At 42.8% G+C, this 23,017-nt stretch overlaps 2 protein-coding genes and 1 long non-coding RNA gene across 7 annotated transcripts in view, besides 5 other annotated features; 2 read left to right on the forward strand and 1 right to left on the reverse strand.

Annotated features, from left to right (window-relative positions):
- TXNDC12 (thioredoxin domain containing 12) overlaps positions 1 to 13,337 on the reverse strand; it is a 36,041-nt gene extending 22,704 nt beyond the window's left edge. For 2 of the 3 annotated variants that reach the window (NR_046406.1, NR_046405.1), the window contains exon 1: positions 12,166 to 13,337. Coding sequence is in view for 1 of the 3 variants with exons in the window: in NM_015913.4 (NP_056997.1) it covers positions 12,166 to 12,262 (97 nt within the window). In the remaining 2 variants the exon portion in view is untranslated. The remainder of the gene's footprint in view (positions 1 to 12,165) is intronic. The other variant, NM_015913.4, reaches the window with a different exon arrangement.
- TXNDC12-AS1 (TXNDC12 antisense RNA 1) lies at positions 8,084 to 9,849 on the forward strand. Its single transcript, NR_126385.1, has 3 exons — positions 8,084 to 8,131; positions 8,950 to 9,015; positions 9,573 to 9,849. It is a non-coding gene; the product is annotated as a TXNDC12 antisense RNA 1 (long non-coding RNA).
- Positions 12,381 to 12,785: a silencer, noted in NCBI's record as "fragment chr1:52520887-52521291 (GRCh37/hg19 assembly coordinates)". NCBI's record gives its function as "represses an EF-1alpha promoter that drives an FKBP-Casp9 reporter gene in an ReSE screen in HepG2 liver carcinoma cells {active_cell/tissue: HepG2}" and the evidence as "EXISTENCE:reporter gene assay evidence [ECO:0000049][PMID:32094911]".
- Positions 12,951 to 13,664: an enhancer, noted in NCBI's record as "NANOG-H3K27ac-H3K4me1 hESC enhancer chr1:52521457-52522170 (GRCh37/hg19 assembly coordinates)". NCBI's record gives its function as "activates a minimal SCP1, AML or CMV promoter by ChIP-STARR-seq in naive and primed H9 embryonic stem cells {active_cell/tissue: H9 hESC(naive and primed)}" and the evidence as "EXISTENCE:reporter gene assay evidence [ECO:0000049][PMID:30033119]".
- Positions 13,461 to 23,017, forward strand: part of BTF3L4 (basic transcription factor 3 like 4) — a 34,422-nt gene continuing 24,865 nt past the window's right edge. For 2 of the 3 annotated variants that reach the window (NM_152265.5, NM_001243767.2), the window contains exons 1-3: positions 13,461 to 13,545; positions 17,001 to 17,067; positions 21,991 to 22,104. In NM_152265.5, the coding sequence (NP_689478.1) occupies positions 17,014 to 17,067; positions 21,991 to 22,104 (168 nt within the window). In that variant the 5' untranslated portion in view covers positions 13,461 to 13,545; positions 17,001 to 17,013. The remainder of the gene's footprint in view (positions 13,546 to 17,000; positions 17,068 to 21,990; positions 22,105 to 23,017) is intronic. The other variant, NM_001136497.3, reaches the window with a different exon arrangement.
- Positions 13,646 to 13,885: a silencer, noted in NCBI's record as "silent region_884". NCBI's record gives its function as "represses an Ori minimal core promoter by ATAC-STARR-seq in GM12878 lymphoblastoid cells {active_cell/tissue: GM12878}" and the evidence as "EXISTENCE:reporter gene assay evidence [ECO:0000049][PMID:35858748]".
- Positions 13,646 to 14,376: a biological region, named in NCBI's record as "H3K27ac hESC enhancer GRCh37_chr1:52522171-52522882".
- Positions 13,665 to 14,376: an enhancer, noted in NCBI's record as "H3K27ac hESC enhancer chr1:52522171-52522882 (GRCh37/hg19 assembly coordinates)". NCBI's record gives its function as "activates a minimal SCP1, AML or CMV promoter by ChIP-STARR-seq in primed H9 embryonic stem cells {active_cell/tissue: H9 hESC(primed)}" and the evidence as "EXISTENCE:reporter gene assay evidence [ECO:0000049][PMID:30033119]".

Below are 23,017 nucleotides of genomic sequence, written 5' to 3' on the forward strand. Positions count from 1 at the left end.
TGGTCTTGAACTCCCGACCTCAGGTGATCTGCCCGCCTCAGCCTCCCAAACTGCTGGGATTACAGGCATGAGCCACTGTGCCCGGACTGTAATTTTTGTATTTTTAGTAGAGAGAGGGTTTCGCCATGTTGGCCAGCCTGGTCTCGAACTCCTGAGCTCAGGTGATCTGCCAGCCTCCTCAGCCTTCCAAAGTGCTGGGATTACAGGCATGAGCCACCGCACCCGGCCCTTTCACTTCTTTAAATGAGAGTAGCACGCACTCTCTCCCCTCCAGGCTTTCACAATCACTACTACCTGTGCAATTCCTTCCGTCCCTCACCTCCAACTCATTCTTCAGGTATAAGCCTAGAGGGCATTTCTTCTGGTATATCTTCCCTGACTCCCAAAGCACCCTATTCTTACCCCATCACAGCACTCCCCAGGCTGACTTGTAAATGTTTATGTGTCCATCTCTGGACCATATCTTTCTTATTCCTCTCTGTTTCCTTAGCATTTAGCAGTACACATGGCCACAGTAAGTGCTCCATAAAATATTTGTTGAGCAAATGAATCTTATTTAGATCATATCACAAAAAGAATTTTATATCCAAAAATTATTAGTGATCATAATGCTAGCTGCTGTTTACTGACCACCTTATATGTGCCTGACATACCACATGTGTTATCTCATTTAAATTTGGCCTTATTAATAACCCAGTTTTACTTAATCTCTGTATGCTTGTTTTCTCATCTTTAAAAGAGGCATAAAATAATTATATCTCATAAGGTTACTGAATATTAAATAAGAAATATATGCAAAAAACTTAGCATAGTGCTTAGCATATTATAAATGATCAGTAAGTAGTAGCTTTTGTTATTCTATACGATTGAGACTTCTGAGGCTCAGAGAAGTTACATCACCTGTACTGGTCACATAACTGCTAAATGGCCAAGCTGAGATTTAAATTGCAATCGTGTGCCATTCTGGTTTACTACACTCATCTTTCAGATTTTTCTTTCTCAGAAATAAATTCAAATCTAATTTTCATCAGTGCTACCACAGGGAAACAAAAGGTCATCCAGATGAGCACATGCAGGCAGTATCGAAACTAACCATCCTCACTTTTCATTCCCAACAGCATGGGATGCTGTCACTTGCCTAAGGCTCAAGATTTGACTCTGAAGAGTGAGTGATTGAGAATGAAATTGAGAGGATGCCCAGGAGAACTGCAAGGTGTCTAACATGATCACCATCACTCTATTGGTCAATATCTAAACTCAGGCAACTGAATCCTGCTTTGGCAAGATGCCCAACCAGACAGTCTGAAGGGATATACACCTACAAAACAATGAAATCCTAGATAAAATGGACTTTCAGAATGTGCTCACTAGACTCAGTAATGACAGAACCCTCCATAAACACAAAGCAAGCTAAAACCTATGAGCAACAAGCAAGTGAGGCTGCCCTGAACGCAAGCGTCCATTATGATGTGGCAAAATGGAGATGAATCTGAAACTCCCACATTAACACAACCCTCAAAAGAGACTAAAGTGATTCCACGTGAGTGGTACCCCCTGGTTTTCAGATGAATCAAATGCCAAAACTTTCTGGAGGAAAAGATTCTCCACTTTAGGCTTCCAGGATAGCCAATGAAGAAGAACAACCATTATGAGCTCACAATCATGGATCACCAAAAATGTGAGAAAAGAAGTCGCCACAAGAACACAAGCAACAAACAGATTTTGATCCCTGAGGAATTCAGATATTAGAATTATCAGCCACAAAATACAGAAATAGCTATGCATGAAATGTTTAAAGAAATAACACATGGAATCACAAAAACAGGCATGCAGCATGCAAAATAAATAGTCAAATCTGGCCAGGTGTGGTGGCTCATGTCTGTAATCCTAGCACTTTGGGAGGCCGACGTGGATGGATTGCCTGAGCTCAGGAGTTCGAGACCATCCTGGGCAACATGGTGAAACCCTGTCTCTACTACAATACAAAAAAGTTAGCCAGGTGCCGTGGTGCAAGCCAATAGTCCCAGCTACTTGGGAGGCTGAAGTAGGAGAATTGCTTGAACCTGGCAGGCAGAGTTTACAGTGAGTTGAGATCACGCCACCACACTCCAGCCTGGGTGACAGAGCAAGACTCTGTCTCAAAAAAAAAAAAAGAAAGTCAAATCTGTGAAGTCATCAAACAGAACTTCTAGAAATTAAAAATACAGTTTTGTTGAAATACAAAGTGAATGAATATGCAGTGATAAAAGGAAAGGAGTAATCAAGCCACGAAAAGACATTGAAGAACCTTAAACATATACTAAGTGGAAAGAGCAATTTGAAAAGGCTATATACTACATAATTCCAATTACATGACATTGGAAAAAGCAAAATTATGGAGATAGTAACAGATCAGTGGTTAACAGGGATTCTGGGGGAGAGAGATGAATAAGTGGAGCTCAGGATATTTTTGTAACAGTGAAACTATTCTATATGAAACTGTAATGGTGGATACATACTGTTAATGGCCTCAATTGTGTCCCCCACCCCACTCCAAAGTTCATATCTTAAAGTCTTTAAAGAGGTAGCTGAGGTAAAATGAGGTCATTGCGGTGGGCCCTTATCCTTATGAGAAGAGGAGATTAGGACACAGACAAACTTAAAGGGAAGATCATGTGAAGACATAGAAGACAGCCATCCACAAGAAGAAACCAACCCTACCAAGACCTTCATATTGGACTTCTAGCCTCCAGAACTGTAAGAAAATAAACTTCTATTGTTTAAGCCGGTTAGTCTGTGTATTTGTTATGGCAGTCCTAGCAAACGAATACATATGTTATTATACATTTGTCAAAACACATAGAATGTACAACACCAAGAATGAACCCGAATGTAAACTAGGGACTTTGGTTAATAATAATGTATCAATATTGGTTCGTCAATTGTAACAAACTATCTTTCAAAAGTAAGAGCAAAATAGACATTTTTAGATAAGCTGAGTGATTTTTCCATCCTTCCCTCACAGCCCTCAGAAAAAACAATCCTGCTGACACTGTGATTTTGGACTCCTAGCCTCCAGAACTGTGAGACAATAAATTTCTGTTAAGACACAGTTTGGGCTGTGGATGGTGGCTCATGCCTGTAATCCCAGCACTCTGGGAGGCCGAGGTGAGAGGATCATTTGAGCCCAGGAGTTTGAGACTAGCCTGGGCAACATAGTGAGACCCCATCTCTATAAAAAATAGAAAAATTAGCCAGGTGTGGTGGTGCATGCCTATAGTCCTAGCTACTTGGGAGGCAGGGGCAGGAGGATCGATTGAGCCTGTAGTGAGCTGTGATTGCCCCACTGCACTCCAGCCTGGGTGACAGAGCAAGATTCTGTCTCGAAAAAAAAAAAGACACAGTTTGTGGTACTTTCTTACTGTAGCCTTAGCAAACTAATACAGGGGAGCAAGGCAAAAGCAAGGAGACTAATAAAGGGGCTACTACAATAATCCAGGCAAGAGATGATAGTGGACTGGACCAGCTGGGGTGGTAGAGGGGTAAGATACCAATAGGTTCTGGATATATTTCAAAGGCAAAGTTAGCAGGATTTTGCTATGGATATGGGATATGAGAGCAAAAAGAGAAGTCAAGGATCACTCTAAGGTTTTTGGCCTGGACAAGTAGAAGGATGGAGCTGCCATTTACAGTGAGGATGAAAGCATGATTAGAGCATGACCAAGACAGTCCAAGGAGAAAAATTAGATCGAATACATACAACTCTTTCAAAAAATTTTTGACTGGGTGTCGTGGCTCACGCCTGTAATCCCAGCACTTTTGGAGGCCAAGGCAGGCAGATCACTTGAGGTCAGGAGTTCGAGACCAGCCTGGTCTAACCTAACATGGTGAAACCCCATCTCTACTAAAAATACAAAAATTAGGCCAGGCGCGGTGGCTCACGCCTGTAATCCCAGCACTTTGGGAGGCCAAGGCAGGCGGATCACGAGGTCAAGAGATCAAGACCATCCTGGCCAACATGGTGAAACCCCATCTCTACTAAAAAAAAAAAAAATATATATATATATATATATATATATATTAGCCGGGTATGGTGGCACACACCTGTAATTCCAGCTACTCAGGAAGCTGAAGCATGAGAATTGCTTGAACTTGGGAGGCGAAGGTTGCAGTAAGCCAAGATCATGCCACTGCACTCCAGCCTGGGTAACAGAGTGAGACTCTGTCTCTAAAAGAAAAGAATTTTGCTGTACCAGGGACAACTGAAAGCTGATAGAAATGATACAATAAAGATAGGAAAAAGGGGTAATACAACATTAGAAGGGAGAGTCACTGGTAAAATATTGGTGAGTCGGTGAGAGGAGACGGGATTTAGCACTCAAGTAGAGGGATTAGCCTTTGCTAGGAATAATGATGGTTTATCAGGTAACAACAGGAAAGGGAGCATGTATGAACACTAGTGGGTAAATGCAGTAGTGAAAATTTTTGAAAGGCCTCTTCCGATTCCTTCTGTCTTCTGGTAAAGAGGGACTATAATTACTAACTGAGAGCAAGGACTATGGAAGAAGTATTGGAGATTTGAAAAGACAGGAAGAAGTATGAAATAGTCCCCTAGGAGAGAATCAGAGAAAATAAAAAGGATAGCTAAAGGACATATTTCAGGTAGGAAATGATCCCAGAGGAAGGCCTAGATACAAAGAATAGTGAGCAAATAAACCAGCAAACATGTAGATAAATATGTAAATATTGTCTGTATAGCAATTTATAATGCCCGATTTGTAGAGTTAAAAAAGAAAGAGAGAGAGAACTAAGCCAGGCACAATGTGCACCTGTAGTCCCAGCTACTCTGGAGGTTGAGTCAGGAGGATTGCTTGAGCCCCGGAGTTTGAGGCCAGTCTGGGCAACAGGATGAGACTCTATCTCTAAAAAATAAATAACTAAGTTTCAAAAAAAAATTAAAATTAGAACTAAATATGAGACAACTCCTTATAAGTGAAGAGTGGGTGATTGAAATTAAATGTTCTAAAGTCCCTCTTACCACTGGGGGTATAATAGTGTTAGATTTTGTTAAGTATGCAAGTAAAATTTCAAGAGTTACTACTAAAAGAAAAGAACTAGAATGCCAACTTCCAAACTAATAAAGGAGATAAAATAAGAACAAGCAAATATTCAACCCCCAAAGAAAGGGCAAAAAGAAAAAAAAGCACAGAAAAAAACAGTAGAAACTGGATAACAGAAACAAGAGCTGTTCTGTCAATAATCACAACAAATATAAGTGGACTAAACTTGCCAATTAAAGTGAAAAGACAAAAATTGTCAGACTTGGTTTAAGAAAAAAGTACCTCTACGATGCTTATAAAAGCATACCTAGCCAGTTGTGGTGGCTCACACCTATAATCCCAGCATTTTGGGAGGCCAAGGCAGGAGGATCACTTGAGGCTAGAAGTTCGAGGCCAGTCTGGGCAACATAGAGAAACCTCACCTCTACAAAAAAATTTAAAAATTAGCTGGATGCAGTGGCATGTGCCTATAGTCCCAGCTACTCAGGAGGCTGATGTCAGAGGATTGCTTGAGGCCAGGAGTTCGAGGATACAGTGAGCTATGATGGCACCACTGCACTCTAGCTCGGGCAACAGAGGGTGACCCTGTTTCTTTTCTTTAAAAAAAAAAAAAAAAAAGCATGCCTAAAACAGAAGGACTTACAGAAGTCCAATGCCAAACAAGATAGAGTCAAGGAAGCTAGATTAATATAAGGTTAAATAAAATTTCTCAGCCAGGCACAGTGGCTCATGCCTGTAATCCCATTACTTTGGGAGGCTGAGGCAGGCAGATCACTTGAGTTCAGGAGTTCAAGACCAGCCTGGCCAACCCCATCTCTACCAAAAATTTAAAAATTAGCTGGGTGTGGTGGCGCACACCTATAATCCCAGCTATCTGGGAGGCTGAGGTGGGAGAATCGCTTAAACCCAGGAGGCAGGGGTTGCAGTGAGCCAAGATGGGGCCACTGCACTCCAGCCTGAGTGACAGAGTGAGACTCTGTCTCAAAAAAATAATAATTAATTAATTAATTAAAATAAATTCTCCATGTACCTAGGCCACTCAGAAGCTAGGTGTCAAACCTTACAATCACGTAAGGTTATTACTAATAGAGACCTAGAACAGCACTGTAAAGTAGAACTTACTGCAATGAGCTGTTCAATATGGTAGTCACTAGCCACATGTGGCTACAGAACAATTGAAATGTAGACAATCCAGCTGAGCTCAACTTTTACTTTTATTTAACTTTAATAAATTTAAAGAGTCACAACACTAGAGATTTAGTCTAACCCTCTTATTTTACTGAGGCCTAGAAAAGAAGTTATCCAACACTCCAAGGTAGACCACAACCAAAATTTAAGTCTCCTGACTCCTAATTAGCATTCTTTTCTAATACCCCAGTACTTCCCAAGCTGTTCTGCTGCAATATCCCTAGAGTAAGTCTAGAGGTATAACGTGAAAATAGTCCACTGTGGCTGGGCGTGGTGGCTCAAGCCTTTGGGAGGCTGAGGCGGGTGGATCACAAGGTCAGGAGTTTGAGACCAGCCTGATCAACACAGTGAAACCCCGTCTCTACTCTACAAAAATTAGCCAGGCATGGTGGCAGGTGCCTGTAATCCCAACTACTTGGGAGGCTGAGGCAAGAGAATCGCTTGAACCCAGGAGGGGAAGGTTGCAGTGAGCTGAGATTGCGTCACTGCACTCCAGCCTAGGCAACAGAGCAAGACTGTCTCAACAACAACAACAAAATAGTCTACTGCATGTACAAAATTTCCTTGAGAATTCATATTAAAATTTACATTGGAATTTTTTATAATAGTAATAATCACCACCACCACTTATTAAGCAATTGCATTTTTTTTTTTTTGGTAGAGATAGGATCTTGCTATGTTGCCCATGCTGGTTTTGAACTCCTGGCCTCAAGCAATCTGCCCGCCTTGGCCTCCCAAACTGCTAGGATTATAGGCGTGAGCCACTGCACCCAGCCTAAGTGCTTATTTTATGTAATAATTATATTATAGTAACAATATTAATGACTAACACATGAAATTTATTATGTGCCAGGTACTTAAATGCTTTTATATGTGTTAACTTATTTAATCTTCACAACAACTTTATGAGGTAGAAACTCTAATTATCCCTTTATAAATAAGGAAGCTGAACTGAAACAGCTTGCCCAAGGTTATGTTGCCACTAAGTGGCAGAGCTGGGACTAGAATCTAGGTGGTTGGGTTCCAGGGTCTGTAGTTAACAACCATTCACTACACTTTACTGTCTCTCTAGCAAACATTAAATGAACAAACGAATGCAGCTTCACCAAAGCAGAATGGGAACACCAACTTCAGATCTGGAAAACTTGGGCCTTTTGTTTCCCTCTCAAAAAGATGTTTAAAAGGTACAATGTTTACCTTGTTACTAAAAACATCCATTCCCCAGCACCACTAACACTCCCACCTGTGCCAACATGGAACATCTGAAGGCAGTCCAATTTCCTAAAGTGTCACCTGTATAGCCACTTAATTTATGCCAGTTATCTGCAAAGTAAAGTCTCCCACATCAGCAACTCTTACCCTATAACATTAATTTTTTAAAAAAGAAAAGCAACCATTTCTAAACACAGCATTCAATCAGAATTTTCAATCCCTTCATCCAAAAATTGTTTTAATGAATGTAAGCTAAAGACATCTGAAAAGTATTATCCACCCCCTCCTAGCTGATGAAACCTAAATAACAAAAGGTCAAGCATCAGAGCTGGCAGCCAAGCCTCTGAAACAGGGAACACTGTACCTGAGACATAGAACATAGTGGCTAAATACTGATTGTCTCAGTCAAACAGACCTGCATTAGAATTCTTGTTCAGCCACTTACCATTTTCATAAATGCAAACTATGGCTAACAAAAACATGTATCCCATAGGCTGTTGTGAATGTGAGTAGAACACTGTGTGGGAGGTAAACACACTTCATATGTGTTAGTGCCAAATTTTTATTCCAGAGACTTGACAAAGTTATCCATTTTTGTTTCAGGCAGAAGAGCACAAGAACCACTCCCAATGACAGCTTTCTAGTTTCTCCTTTAAACTTTAGAGGAGTTTCTGCACTGAGAGACTGGAATGGTATGCTGGTTAAGGGCACTGGCTCTGGGATTTGTATTCCAGCTAGTCCACTGGACTCCTTTGCCTCATTTGAGGTTTTTTCATCTGTTAAGTGGGAATAATGATAAAAACATTGTCCATCTCATAGGGTTATTATGAGGCTTAGTCAATACATGAAAAATGCACACAACAGCACCTGGAGGATAGTAAATGTACAGTAAATATTGGTCACTACTTCTCCCCATGGGTGATGTACTCCAAATTTTTAGTCCATGGAGAACAATGTAATTATTTTGGAACTCTATAGAACGTTAGAGCTGGAAGAGATCTTAGGAAGTACTTCTAGTACAACTTTCTCATTGATTAATTGGTTGTCACGTAGGACCAGAACTAAATGGCCTGATCAGGATTACAATCCAGGCCTCCTAATTTATTTATTTATTTTTTTTGAGACAGAGTATCACTCTGTTGCCCAGGCTGGAGTGCAGTGGCACTATCTTGGCTCACTGCAACCTCCGCCTCCCAGGTTCAAGCAATTCTCCTGCCTCAGCCTCCCGAGTAGCTAGGATTACAGGCGTGTGCCACCACGCCTGGCTAATTTTTGTATTTTTTTTAGTAGAGATGGGGTTTCGCCATGTTGGCCAGGCTGGTCTTGAACTCCTGACCTCAGGTGATTGACCTGCCTCAGCCTCCCAAAGTGCTGGGATAACAGGCATGAGCCACCGTGCCCAGCCTGGGCCTTCTAATTTCTATTTAGTGCTAAGTCCACATCACTGTGCTGCTTCTTCTTAATGAAAACAGTAGAGATCATTCAGTCTCTCCTCTCTGTAAACCACCAGGCCATCGTCCGGAAACATCTGGGAAGAAATCCATCTCATTAAGACTTTCAGCAACCATTGCCTCAGGTAGCACTTTTTTGGAAGGTAGGGTAAGTGGGGTATAATCTACTTCCCAAGAATCCATACCCAAGAGATACATAAAACAAAAGTTTGAAATAGTATTAATTCCTTTTAGGGATTATTATTATTATTTCCATGGGGGAAATAATACTGGTTAATGTTTATTAAATATTTTCTAAGTGTCCGACACAATATTAAGTGCCTTTTGTTTTTTGATTGAATCCTCCCAACCCAGCCCCACTGCCCTAAGCTGCCCTTCTATGTGCTCCTGCAGCTACCTGGTATTTCTCTGCTTAAAGCACATATCATGCTGCCATGTAACTGTCTGCTTACTTGTCTTGGTATCTTACCAGACTGCAAGCTGAAAAAGGACAGGAATCACAATTATCATGTTTATCATTCATTTCCTCTTTCAACAAATATTCCTGAGCATGAACAAGACAGAAATAGTCCTGGTTCACTGTGGCAGATATGCCCTTCTTACAATGTGACCTCAACATACCTCCCATTGGGGGTGAGGGTGGGGGTCCTAATATTCCATTCCCTTGAATCTGCCCCTACAGGGTACTGTGGAAGTGATGCTATGTGCCTTGTAAGGCTAGGTGACAAAAATGCCATGCATTTCCACCTTGTTCTCTTATGGCACGCACTCTTGGAATCCAGCCTCCCATAAAGCTACTGTGAGGAAACCCATAGGAGCCCATGCGGAAAGATCACATGGAGAGGTAACCAGCTTAGCCAAGGCCCCAGTCATCATAGAACAGGGACAAGCCTTTCCCAGTGTGCCTTGTTTGAATTCCTTACTCACACAATTGTGAGCATAATAAAATGATTTCTTCATGCCCACTAAATTTTGGAGTGATTTATTACACAACAATGGTAACTGGAACAACCACACAAAGCTTAATATCTAACAAGGAATAAAAATACAAAATACCTGATTCCAAGGTATTACCTACACCTAACACAGTAACTTGAACAGAGCAAATTATTTGTTGAGTGTCTGAGGTAGTTATGATGCCCATTTTGCAGATGAGGAACGGAGGCTTTGAGAGTTAAGAAACTTGCCCAAGGCTACTCAGCTAGTGAGTGGCAGAACAAATTAAAACTCAGATCTAGGCCTGGCGCAGTGGCTCCCGCCTATAATCCCAATACTTTGGGAGGCCAAGGAGGGAGGATTACCTGAGGTCAGGAGTTTGAGATCAGCCTGGCCAACATGGTGAAACTCCATCTCTACTAAAAATACAAAAAAATACAAAAAAAAAAAAAATTAGCTGGGCATAGTGGCACATGCCTGTAGTCCCAGCTACTTGGGAGGCTGAGGCAGGAGAATCATTTGAACCCGGGAGGCAGAAGTTGCAGTAAGCCGAGATTGCACCACTCCACTCCAGCCTGGCAGAGTGAGACTCCGTCTCAAAAACAAAAGCAAACAAACAAACAGAAAAAACAGCAAAGAAAAAACTCAGATCTAAACCCACGTACCCAACACTCTACTCTTCTGTTACTCTCAGTACTTACAACTTTAAATATACAGTAGCTGGCTGGGCGCAGTGGCTCATGCCTGTAATCCCAGCACTTTGGGAGGCCGAGGCGGGCAGATCATGAGGTCAGGAGTTTGAGACCAGCCTTGCCAACATAGTGAAACCCCGTCTCTACTAAAAATACAAAAAATTAGCCAGACGTGGTGGCAGGCACCTGTAATCCCAGCTACTCGGGAGGCTAAGGCAGGAGAATCGCTTGAACCCAGGAGGCGGAGGTTGCAGTGAGCCAAGATCATGCCACTGGACTCCAGCCCGAGCAACAGTGTGAGACTCTGTCTAAAAAACAAAACAAAACAACAACAAAAAAAAACGGTAGTCTGTTTTAAAATGGGATTGTCAGTATTTAAAACATTCTGGCCTAACAGGATTTGTCATGCAGTTTCATCACTGAGATGGAAACCCACATATCACCTTCTCCAAAAAGCTTCTCCTGACCTTCATAATTCAAGTGATGCCAGCTCCACCAACCTCCCCAGCCTTTCTACTTCCTATTCCATCACAGTCTTATTGTTTTCCCAGCACTTGTTCCTAGTTGAAACTGTCTTATTAATTTGTTCATGAGTCTACTCTGTCTCTCTGACATGAATATAAGCTCCACCAGAGTAGGAACCTTGTCTGTCCTGTTTACAGCTATATCCCTAGTGCCTAGGACAGTGCCTGAAATATAGGAGGTGATCAAAAATTATTTACGGAATGAAGGAATGATTGCATTCAGGCAAAATGAATGCCCACCCAATCTTATTACTCACCAATAGATGTGAAAATAGAGAGGATAAGAGAAAACAAAAACAGAAGGATTGCAGCAGAATCATTCCATACAGTAAGGTCAGTGAAAAAAAAAAAAGGAAGAGGGGTTGGGATCCATGCTACAATTCATCTACTTAGAAAAGCATAAACTCTGAGTTCACAGACTGTCAGTCCAACTTTCAACTAAGTAAGGGCTGATGAGGAGAGAGGTGTTAAAACTTAGAATGGAGATGTAGGTAATGGATGGAGTAGGGGGCCACACCTCCTAACCTCCATTCATAACCACTGATCGCTCACTTACAAAAAAACTTCGCTGAACCACAGCAAGGACAATTGTTGGGGACCCTTAAACAGCAGACCTTCTACCATTCGCTTGGCTCTTCTTATGCACTAGATACAGCTACCTGGGATGCAGGTGCTGTTTCCCAAAGGCAAGCAAGTGGCAGTAACCTAGCTCTTCGCGGAAGAAGTAACGAGAGAAATCTTCAGACCCAGAACAGGGTCCTCTGCATATGCAGGTCCCCAACGGCTCTATTTCTCCCAGGTGGGAAGGTGACCGTTCCTCAGGACCTCCCAAGTGCTAGGCACTATGCTGGGCTCTTAACATGCTTTCCTTAATTTACGGGCCATTCCTTCCCCCCAATCCAATAATTTAGAGAGGCCTCAAGTACAACTTCTCCATTCCCCAGACCCGCTACTCTCTACCCCAAGAAATCTTCAAACTCCAGGAGCGGTTGGGGAAGATAAAAAGAAATCTGGAGTGGCCTAAGAGTTAGAATGGGAGGGGAACGGTGCTAGGGCAAGAAGAGATTATACTGGGATCAGTATAGTAAAGATCAGTAAAGAGAAGATAAGAACGCGGTCTGACCCTTTCCAAGCCCATTATGTCCATCAGAAGAGATGACGAGGAGCAGGAAACTGAAGCCCAGCAAACAGGTGGCCCCGAGACGAGGCCGCGTCTCCATGGCAGTAGGTGCGCGGGGCCACGGGGCTGAGCGGACGCAGGGCCGGAGTCCCAGCAGACGGTCCACACAGTTCGCCGAGCGCCGCTCAGCACAACACCTCTACTTCCCAGATTTTTTTTTTTCAAACTCTGAAGGAAGTGATGTTAGACGGATGTGGGTGGTGCCTCCGGGGTCCGGTTTGGGATGGAGTGAGCTTAAAGGTGCAGATCACGTAGAAGGGTACGAGAGCTGTTCTCGAGCGCGAGTTGCTTTTCGTGGATTCTGGGTGTCCAGGTCCCGGGACGGAGCGGGAAAATGTAGGCCAAGATAGTAGGGGCGGGGGAGAGGTTCGGGAGAACCGTTGCTCCTCGCGTCCGCCACCCAGTCCAGCCCCTCCCCCCAAGAACCGCTGCACTTCCTAGTCAAAAGCAAATTATTGATTCGTGAGGTCAGTCGCTCCCAACAGTGGGCGGATTGCCCACTGGCCTCGGATTCTCCTTACCCCTCCACAAATCAAGACTGGACAACTGGATTTCATTGTTAGGTTCCTGCGAGGGTCTCTGAGGAGACCTGGCAAGCCTGTTCTGCGGTGCGTGGGCTCGTGCCGTGCAGACATGCACTTTCCCGCTGGAGAAGCTCTGTACCTTATTTTTCCTTGCAACCGCAAATCTTCTACTCAGGGATGATGCAACCAACTGATGCAAGCTCCAAGAAAACCAAACTTGGGACCTCTTATTGCAAAACTGACTTAGGTGGACTTAGGACACCAGGATATAAGTCACTGCAGGCTAAAGTGTAAAGCTTCTGGTTATTTTTCTTGTAGCTTGAGGATTTCTTCCCAATTTTTCCCCTTCGCTGTATAACAAACAGGTGAAAATGTCCGGTCTTTTTCTTCCTGGTACTAGTTGAGTCCTAAAGTCCGTACTTAATGCATAGCGAAAAAGCGACCTAACAAAAGTACACACCCAAATAAAAACATACCGACCACCCTTTTATTAGGTTCCCTAAAATTGTAGGCAGGGACACAACAGAACGCTCGGGAGACTGCAAGCCCCAGGATGCCGCGCGGCCACCTGCACCTGCCGCCACTAGCACTAAGAGGGATGCGCAAAGCAGGCGGGGCGTTGGAGTTCAGATGTTCGCTCCCGGGATAGGCTGCCCCGGAGAGGGAGAGGCGGGGTCGGCTGTATCACGTGGATCTGCTCCCGCCGCCGCCGCCGCCGCCGTCGTCTTTCTCTGTCTCGGCTGAGGCAGCCATCTTTCTCTTGCCGCGTGCTGGTGTTGGAGGACCCTCCCTGCTTCAGGTGAGACCCCCGGCGGTCCCGCCACTTCACGGCCATAGGCCGCTGCGCACGGTCTCCCCCCGCCCTCCCCTTCCGACACCCGCCAACCGCTCAGGCTGCCACTTCCGCCGTGGTGCGGCGAGCGGGGGCGGAGGCGGCTGGCTTGGCCTGTCGGTTACCGGCGGCGCAGCTGGGGGTCGGCACCTGTGGGAAGGTCCCCAGCACCACCGCCCCCTGTGGGAGCGAGCGGGCCCGCCCTGTTGCCGCCCAGACCCTGTCCCAGGAGGCAGGTGGACGCCCCTCCTCTGTTCCATTACTCCTTGCTCACAACAGCAGTGTTGTGTGCTTTGAGCTTTATACAGGCTCTCTGTTGTCATCTCATTTGATGCTCCCAGTCTACAGATAGGGAAGCTGAGGTTACCACTTCCCGCCCTTGAGTCCAGGGAACCGAACTCAGTTACAGCACTCTTCACCTTGTAATGGCAGTGTTTGTTTACAAGTCGGCGTCCCTTGCCCATCTTTATAACCCCCCTCCCACTGCCTGCTGACCGACAGGCTCAGTGTTGCACAGCTAGTGAATGGCGGTTTCAACTTCCGTTCCCACATTCTTGCAGTTTACCATAGTTGTCCCCTCGGGAGTGGTAACAATAGTTACCAGTAACTGTGTATCTTCTGTGAACCATTCCCTGTGGTTGATAATGTTTTAACCCTCAAAACAACCCTGTGAAGTACGTGGTGTTATACCTTTCCAAATGCAGGAGGAATACAAGTTCAGAGAAGAAAAATACCTTTCCCAACTGGTAGAACCTTGGTCTTTCTGATTCCAAAGCCTGTGCTTGTCTTAGAGAAACCCTACATAATAAAAAGTCAGGACTCAAGGTTGCAATTATTTTTATCTCTGTGTAAACATGATGTATGTGAAAGTGCCTACCACAATGCTTCTAACTTAGGCACTTAATAAATATAAACCTGTTTACACCCTTTCTTGAGTCCTTGAGAACAGTGCTAAAAGATCCTGGAATCCCCAAGGAAGAACTCATTAATCATGTGGCTTTAGGAAGTTACTTCTCCCTTTTGGGCCTAGGAAGGGACTTCTCCCTTCTGGGCCCTTATTTCCTAATCTATTAAGATGGGAGGGAGGGAACTGTTTCGTTTGTAATTTATACTTTGCTGGTGCTAGCAGATGTTGAGATGACATCACAGATAGGAATGATGGGTGCAATAAAGTAGAGGTTGATTGAGAATAGAGAATTAAACCAGGTGATCTTGGAGGTCTACTCCAGATTCTGAGCTTGACATCGCATAGACTGAGTCCAGTCCTCTTTCCTACTTGAATTCCACACACCACAACTTGCCAAGAAACAAAAGACTACTCTTGTTCCTCCCCTACTGCCTTGAGCTCTCAGTCTCCCTAAAATCATTTTTCTCTGAGATACTCCTTAGGAACAAAATTTCTCAATTCTGTTGTCCTGACCACCTGGAATGGAATCTGTTCTTTCATCTATACCTTGATTTGAAGAGTTAATTTTGTTCTTGCTTTTATTTCAAACAAGTCAAGACTTTGTCTTGGCATCCCAACCTCTGTCTGTTCTCTTGGGAATTGTTACTTCAAAATGCAGAAGAATCCCAAAGGGTTTACCAAGTATCTAGGTCTAATGTTTTTCCTTAGCCCCTTTTTTTTTGCAATAAATTCCTTTGGCTCTTTGTTAGTTCACTACACTCTCATGGCCACATTCCTTTGAGAAAAGTGAATGTTGGTCCTTTTCTGTGGATATTTGAGCATAGGAATTGGGATTTAAGTCATCAAATTTAAGTCTATGGCAGAGCTAAGATTGGCACACATTTAAGACTTCTTGTTTTGGACTCTAAACACACTTCCTCCTATAAAAGTGTTTTTAGCTGCTTCAGCATTGTGATACAGCGCTGAGCAGAGTGAAGAATCATAAATTCTAAATATTATTTGGGATCTGGACATTAGCCTTAAAGAAGAGATAGATATATAGGTTATTGCCTAAGGATAGTGTCAAAGTACAAAATGGTTAGTAATTATATAGTCTTTGATGCTGCTTTTTTTAATCTCTCAAATGAAGCAAACAGTATTTTTTTCATGTGAATGATGACTATACAGGGTTTAGAGAATTGGCCAAAGAAGATTTGATAACAACCTAGTCCCTTATTCCCTCCCTCACATCTCAGTAATGATTTGTTGATCTGCAGAACAAGTAAAACAAGACTTTTAATTTGGCTTTTTTTTTTTTTTGAGACGGAGTTTCGCTCTTGTTGCTCAGGCTGGAGTGCAATGGCATGATCTTGGCTCACCGCAACCTCCGCCTCCCGGGTTCAGGCGATTCTCCTGCCTCAGCCTTCTGAGTAGCTGGGATTACAGGCATGTGCCACCACGCCCGGCTAATTTTGTATTTTTAGTAAAGACAGGTTTCTCCATGTTGGTCAGGCTGGCCTCGAACTCCCGACCTCAGGTGATCCATCCGCCTCGGCCTCCCAAAGTGCTGGGATTACAGGCGTGAGCCACCGTGCCGGGCCTGAATTTGGCTTTTCTTTGTTTATGTAATGTGGAATGTGATGACCCATTATAAACTTAAGAATGTTTTTTTCTTAGTGGGATTATCACTGACCAGACTAGATTCATGACTATAATTTTAGAATCTTCAAAATCAAGATTAACTTTAAAAAGCTTGTTTTAGGAGTCTCCTCTCTGCCCCCCCCCAACATTTATTACTGTAGCAAAGATATGTTTTTGTTAAATTGTGCAATGAAGCATTTTACCCTGTATGCAAGAATGTCTTGACAAGTATAACATACTATATCAGTGCAGGGTATTGAATGAACTCTGGAGAGTGCTGCAGAAGCACCAAATGTCTGAAAACCTGGTTCTCTTTCCCCATTATTAACATACCATCTGACCTTGAATAGAGGACATGACTACTTGATATCTTGACAGCTAGACAGCCTTTTGTTGAATTTCTTCTTTGTTCAGCTTTTTTTTCCTTTTGTCATCTTTATGGTTTATAAGAAATACAGAATGTGATTTGGGAGGAAAAAAATCTACTTGAAGATTTTGCTAATAACATTTGGTAACAGCTCTCTGCTGTAAAAATCTTTGGGGGAAAAAAACTGGCTTGCCTACAGAGATTTCATAATTGGTTAGGCTTAACTGAATGCCAAAGGATTGAATCATGTTTTAAGGAGGGATCTTTGAATAGGTGACTTTGAATCCCATTCTACTTTCTGTTTGTATATTTGATTCCCTCATGGTAATTTAATTTTGATTTTTAAAAATATCTGGTTTATGAAGCTAGAACAAGTTATTAATGTTTATTAAGAATATAGACAGTATTAATATGGTCATGGTGTTGATGCATACTACAAGCTCAGTGAACCAGAAGGTACTGTTGCATAAACAGTTTGTTAATTTCGGCAAAAGAGTGACTTTAACAAATCTATTTTTCCCCCCCTAGATTTACCAACAGCATGAATCAAGAAAAGTTAGCCAAACTTCAGGCTCAGGTCCGGATAGGGGGCAAGGTGAGTGTGGCATAAGAAAAATTGATAGGAGAATGTATGATTACCAGATAGTGTTATTATTTCGGATTTGTGGTCATTGAAAATCTAAAATCTTTTCAATAATCAAGATCAAACCACATTCCAATTTGAAAATAACTTGTCTAGATCTAAAATAGGTAACTAGAACACTTTTCTCTCTGATGATGCAATGGAAATAGCCACATTTGTTTGAATCCTAACTCTTACCATCTGCTAGTTATATGATGTGAACAAGTTATCCAACCTTGTTAAGCTTCCACTTTCTTATCTGCAAAATAGAAATAATCCTACATAAGGTGTTTAAAGATTAGGGTAATATTTATAAAACACCTAATGTGGTGTCTAGCACAGAGTAGATGCTTAATAAATTATAGCTATTATTATGGTTAGACTCACTTGCAGGGCATACCAGATGTTAGGGTTACTTTGTCTTGACTGGATGTTACCTACTTGTACAGAGGTTTAGCTGGAGATGCTTAAGTTGATTATATATTTTGTTCATTGCCAGGTTTTCCTCACAAATTCTTACCTGTTCTTCCATGTTGGTGAATATGAATATCAGCTTTCTTATTCCCTGTACTTTTTAAAGCCTAAGGAAGAACTAGTTGTGAGCAACTGAAGTCTTTGATTCTCTTCAGCTGTGGCACCAGGCTCAAGGAGAATATTCTACCCATATCTCTGCCCAACACAATCTTTGCAAAAGTGAAAGAAAGAATAGTACTTACCTCAGACCTGAAGTGGTAGGTAGGACACTACTTTTTGTAGTGGGTCCCACTGTGTCATTTACACTGATGATAACCACAGTTCCTGGGGATGAGCACAAGGGAAGGGAAGGGAAGAAGAGCCAGTACTTTCTCCTTCTCCCACAGTGATACAGTTATATGAGTCTGGAGTTAGAATAACACACTCATGTAACCACAGTAGTCACATTGTAGCATCAAGTGTGATGTGATGTGCCAATGCAGAAACTAGGGATATTCAAGAACCATAGAATATACCTAGAAGAGCTTGATGTACCACATCGCCATTGTGTATTTTAAAACTGTGGTTGGTACATTCGATTTAGCTGTTGTATATTGAGCACCTACTGTGTGCCAGCACATAGAAGATAAACAAGATCACAGCTCTGCTTGGGAGAGAGATGCTCACAATTATAACGCAGAATAGTGAGTGTTATAATGAAGTACAAGGTACTCTTGCCTAGTGGAGACAAGGAAGTTATCACTGAGCTCTTGTTTAAAGGATAAACAATTTATCACTAGGCGAAAAGGTAATGGCTGGCAGAAAGGTAATGGGTGGTGGCTCACGCCTGTAATCCCAGCACTTCGGGAGGCTGAGGTGGGTGGATCAGTTGAGGTCAGGAGTTCAAGACCAGCCTAGCCAACATGGTGAAACCCTGTCTCCACTAAAAGTACAAAAATAGCCTGGTGTGGTGGCGCATACGTGTAGTCCCAGCTACTTGGGAGGCTGAGGCAGGAGAATCACTTGAACCCGGGAGGTGGAAGTTGCGGTGAGCCAAGATTGCACCACTGCACTCCAGCCTGGGCAACAGAGCAAGACTCCGTCTCAAAAAAAAAAAAAAAAAAAGAAATAGGTAAGAGGGTTCATGAGATAGAGTAAAAAGGGTTGTCATTTCCATACTTGCAAAGGCACATATGGTGCTAAGATAACACAGTACTTAATGGAATGGCTTGCTTTAATATGGTACAGCTATTCTTTTTTTTTTTTTTTTTTTTTTGAGACGGAGTTTTGGTCTTGTTGCCCAGGCTGGAGTTCAATGGCACGATCTCAGCTCACTGCAACCTCCGCCTCCTGGATTCAGGCAATTCTCCTGCCTCAGTCTCCTGAGTAGCTGGGATTACAGGCATATGCCACCATGCCCAGCTGAATTTTTGTATTTTTAGTAGAGATGGAGTTTCTTCATGTTGGTCAGGATGATCTTGAACTCCTGACCTCAGGTGATCTGCCCATCTCGGCCTCCCAAAGTGCTGGGATTACAGGCGTGAGCCACCGTGCCCGGCCTCTTTTTTTTTTTAAGATGGAATCTCTCTCTGTCGCCCAGGCTGTAGTGCAGTGGCGCAATCTCAGCTCACTGCAATCTCCGCCTCCCAGGTTCATGTCATTCTCCTGCCTCAGCCTCCCAAGTATCTGGGACTATAGGCACCCGCCAGCATGCCCGGCTAATTTTTTGTATTTTTTTCAGTAGACACAGAGTTTCACCATGTTAGCCAGGATGGTCTTGCTTGATCTCCTGACCTCGTGATCGCCCGCCTCGGCCTTTTTTTTTTTTTTTTTTTTTTGAGACGGAGTCTCACTCTGTCACCCAGGCTGGAGTGCAGTGGCGTGATCTCGGCTCACTGCAACCTCCACCTCCTGGGTTCAAGCGATTCTCCTGCCTCAGCCTCCTGAGTAGCTGGGATTACAGGCACGCGCCACCACGCCTGGCTAATTTTTGTATTTTTAGTAGAGACTTGGTTTCACCATGTTTGTCAGGCTGGTCTCAAACTCCTGACCTTATGATCTGCCCGCCTCAGCCTCCCAAAGTGCTAGGATTACAGGTGTGAGCCACCGCGCTCGGCCGGTACAGCTGTTCTTTAGTGTACGTAATGGATAGAGAATGGCAGGAAATGAAATGACCAGGTAGTTTGGGATTCCATTATACTTTTATATGCCATACTAAGGAGCTTGGAGTTTTATCCTATAGGCAGTGGGCAACTATTAAAGGATTTTAAGAAGGAAATGACTGCCATTTTAGAAAGGTAGCTGCTGGCGTTGTGGAAAATGGAACAAAATGGAAGTTTGGCCTATAGGCGAACAATTGAGACGCTATTGCTAGAGTCTAAGGCAGCAGTCCGCAATCTTTTTGGCACCAGGGACTGGTTTCGTGGAAGACAGTTTTTCCACGGATGGGAGGATGATGGTTTTGGGATAAAACTGTTCCACCTTAGATCATCAGGCATTAGTTAGATTCTCATGAGGAGTGCGCATCCTAGTTTCCTCGCATACGCAGCTCACAACGGTTCGCCCTCCTATGAGAATCTAATGCTGCCGCTGATCTGACTGGCTGTGGAGCCCAAGCAGTAATGCTCGCTCATGCCCCCTACCCCACCTTCTGCTGTGCTGCCGTGTTCCTAACAGGTCACAGACTGGTACTGGTCAGTGGCCTGGGGGTTGGGGACCTCTATTATATGGGATACAAATTTAGGAGTTGGAATTGACACGATTTAGTGACTGATGGGATATGGGGGGTAAAGGGCATGCAGAAGAATCTAGGATAACCCTCAGATTCATGATTTTAGAGACTTGAGTATATGGTGGTACCACCAGCTACAAAAGTTAGGAAATAAGAATAGATTGGTGGACTGATAAGCTTTAAGACATATTGAATTTGAGGTGCCTGAGGATCATTCGAGTTGAACAAGCACCAAGCAGTTGAGCTATCCCTGAGTCAGGAATGCTTCACAAATGAGTGCCTATGTAAATAGTCAGTCCTTCAGCAACTAGATTTCAAGGCATCCTCTGCTGTCAGATCTCTCCTCCACTCCCACCGGAATTGCTGAGACTGAAGCCCCTACCTTACCTCTATAAGGCTGATTCCCTGAGTACTACTATAGGAGCTACCCAGAGATTGAAACCACTATTCCTTTCTCCTTACTCCTACCAGTTTTAGAAAGATTTAACCCTCAAGACTTAATAAACTGATCCAGGAATCCATTATTTTAAATAGTATTTCAATGGAAAAATGTATTTAGAGTTTCACAGTATCAATTTAGAAATGAACTTTTTCTTTCTCAGTAACTAGTATAATTTTCAACCTGTTTGCTCAGGCCAAGATTCTAAGCATCATCCAAATGTCCTCTTTTTCTCATATCCCACGTGTAATCCATCAGCAAAGTCATGTGGTCTCTTGTGAGAATCTGACCCCTCACCATCTTCACTGCCATATCCCTCATCTCTGGCCAGGACGGCTACAGGAGCCTCCTGACTGGTCTCTTTATAATCCATTTTCTACATAGCAACTTCAGTCATAAGTAATCAGATCAAGTCACTCCCATGCTTAAAACCTTTCAATGGCTTCCCATTGCAATCAATAAAATCTAGCTCCTGCCCATGGCATTCTAGGCTACATAATCTGGTCCTTGCCTATCTTTCTGATTTCATATTCCTCTTCCGTTCCCATTATTCACTCTGCTCTAGCCATACTGGCCCATTTTCTCTCTTCTAGAAAGGACAAGTTCAACCTTGTTTCATTCTGCTTTGATCATTCTTGCCCTAGTTATGGGTCTCAACTCATATGTTACCTCTTCAGAGGGGGCTTTCCTGGACCTTCTAATAAAGTATTGCTTTGCCCCTACTTAGTCATTCTTGCTGTGCTCTAGTTTTGCTTTTTTCTTAATAGTACTTAATCCCATTTGAAATTATCTGATTTGTTTATATATTTATTGATTTTTTTCCTCCTACTGTAATGTAGACATTAATTTTCAGTTATGTCCTAATTCCCCAAATTTCAGAATATCTTTAGACTACTGGCAGGGGGTGGTAGTTACTATAAGAAAAGATAATGTTTTAAAATTGTTATAAAGTATTTAAATTGTCTTGAAGTTATAAATTATGTTTTATTAGCAAACAGTATCTTGTGTTGAAATGACAAAGGCTGGATATTAGATAAGAATAATTCAACCTGAAAAAGCTGATAAGGAAAAAAAAGGAACTGGCTAGAACCAACCTTTAGAAATCTGCGTTAGGCTGACAATCACAACCTCTGAGAAGTCTTATAACATTAATCATTATTATTTTGTCCATTTTTTAATGTGGGTTTTAGATTATTGTGATACGTAAGATGTGATTGCAGTTGCCAGATGCCAGGCATGCTAACACTTCTGCTTCTGTTTGGTTATTTTTCAGGGTACAGCTCGCAGAAAGAAGAAGGTGGTACATAGAACAGCCACAGCTGATGACAAAAAGCTTCAGAGTTCTCTAAAAAAACTGGCTGTGAATAATATAGCTGGTATTGAAGAGGTATGATCACTTTGCAAGTTGTTAAATTGTGTGGGTACATGCACAAATAATTGTCTGGACCTTTCAGATGTAAAATATCAGCTTAGAAAAATCTTTGATATTGTCACTCTGATGTCTTTGAAGGACTGTGGCACTTTGATTTTTGTATGAAATTAAATGATGGTCAAAAAAATAATTTTAGTAGACAGTTAAGGATTTTCATCATACTTTTCAAGCTCAAGATATTTGCGTATATGGCAAAATTATGTAAGTGTTCTTGAATATTAATATAAAATATGTCTCTAATAATGTAGAAATAAACCCCAACATTTCCTCAGATGAGATAGACCTTTTTTTTTTTTTTTTGAGATGGAGTCTCACTCTGTCACCCTAGCTGGAATGCAATGGCACGATCTTGGCTCACTGCAACCTCTGCCTCCCGGGTTCAGACGGTTCTCCTGCCTCAGCCTCCCAAGTAGCTGGGACTACAGGTGCGTGCCACCATGCCCGGCTGATTTTTGTGTTTTTAGTAGAGACGGGGTTTCACCATGCTGGCCAGGCTGGTCCCAAACTCCTGACCTCAGATGATCCGCCTGCCTCGGCCTCCCAAAGTGCTGGGATTACAGGTGTGAACCACCGCGCCCGGCCAGACTTTTTTTTATTATTTAAGATTTTGGACTCATGGCTCAATAGAGGTAGACTTTTTTACCCTAATGCACCTGTATATTTTACAGAGCCTCATTAGTTACTACCTCAGCCAAAAGGCTTTAGCAGTAGCTTTACATGGGTTAGATTTCTTATTAAAACTGTTTCAAAAATTGTTTAAAATGTATTAGTCAGCCGGGTGCAGTGGCTCACGCCTGTAATCTCAGCACTTTGAGAGGCCTAGGCAGGCAGATCATCTGAGGTCAGGAGTTCAAGAGCAGCCTGGCCA

The sequence above is a fragment of the Homo sapiens genome, chromosome 1, assembly GCF_000001405.40.
Source record: "Homo sapiens chromosome 1, GRCh38.p14 Primary Assembly".
In the NCBI taxonomy this organism is placed as follows: Eukaryota; Metazoa; Chordata; class Mammalia; order Primates; family Hominidae; genus Homo; species Homo sapiens.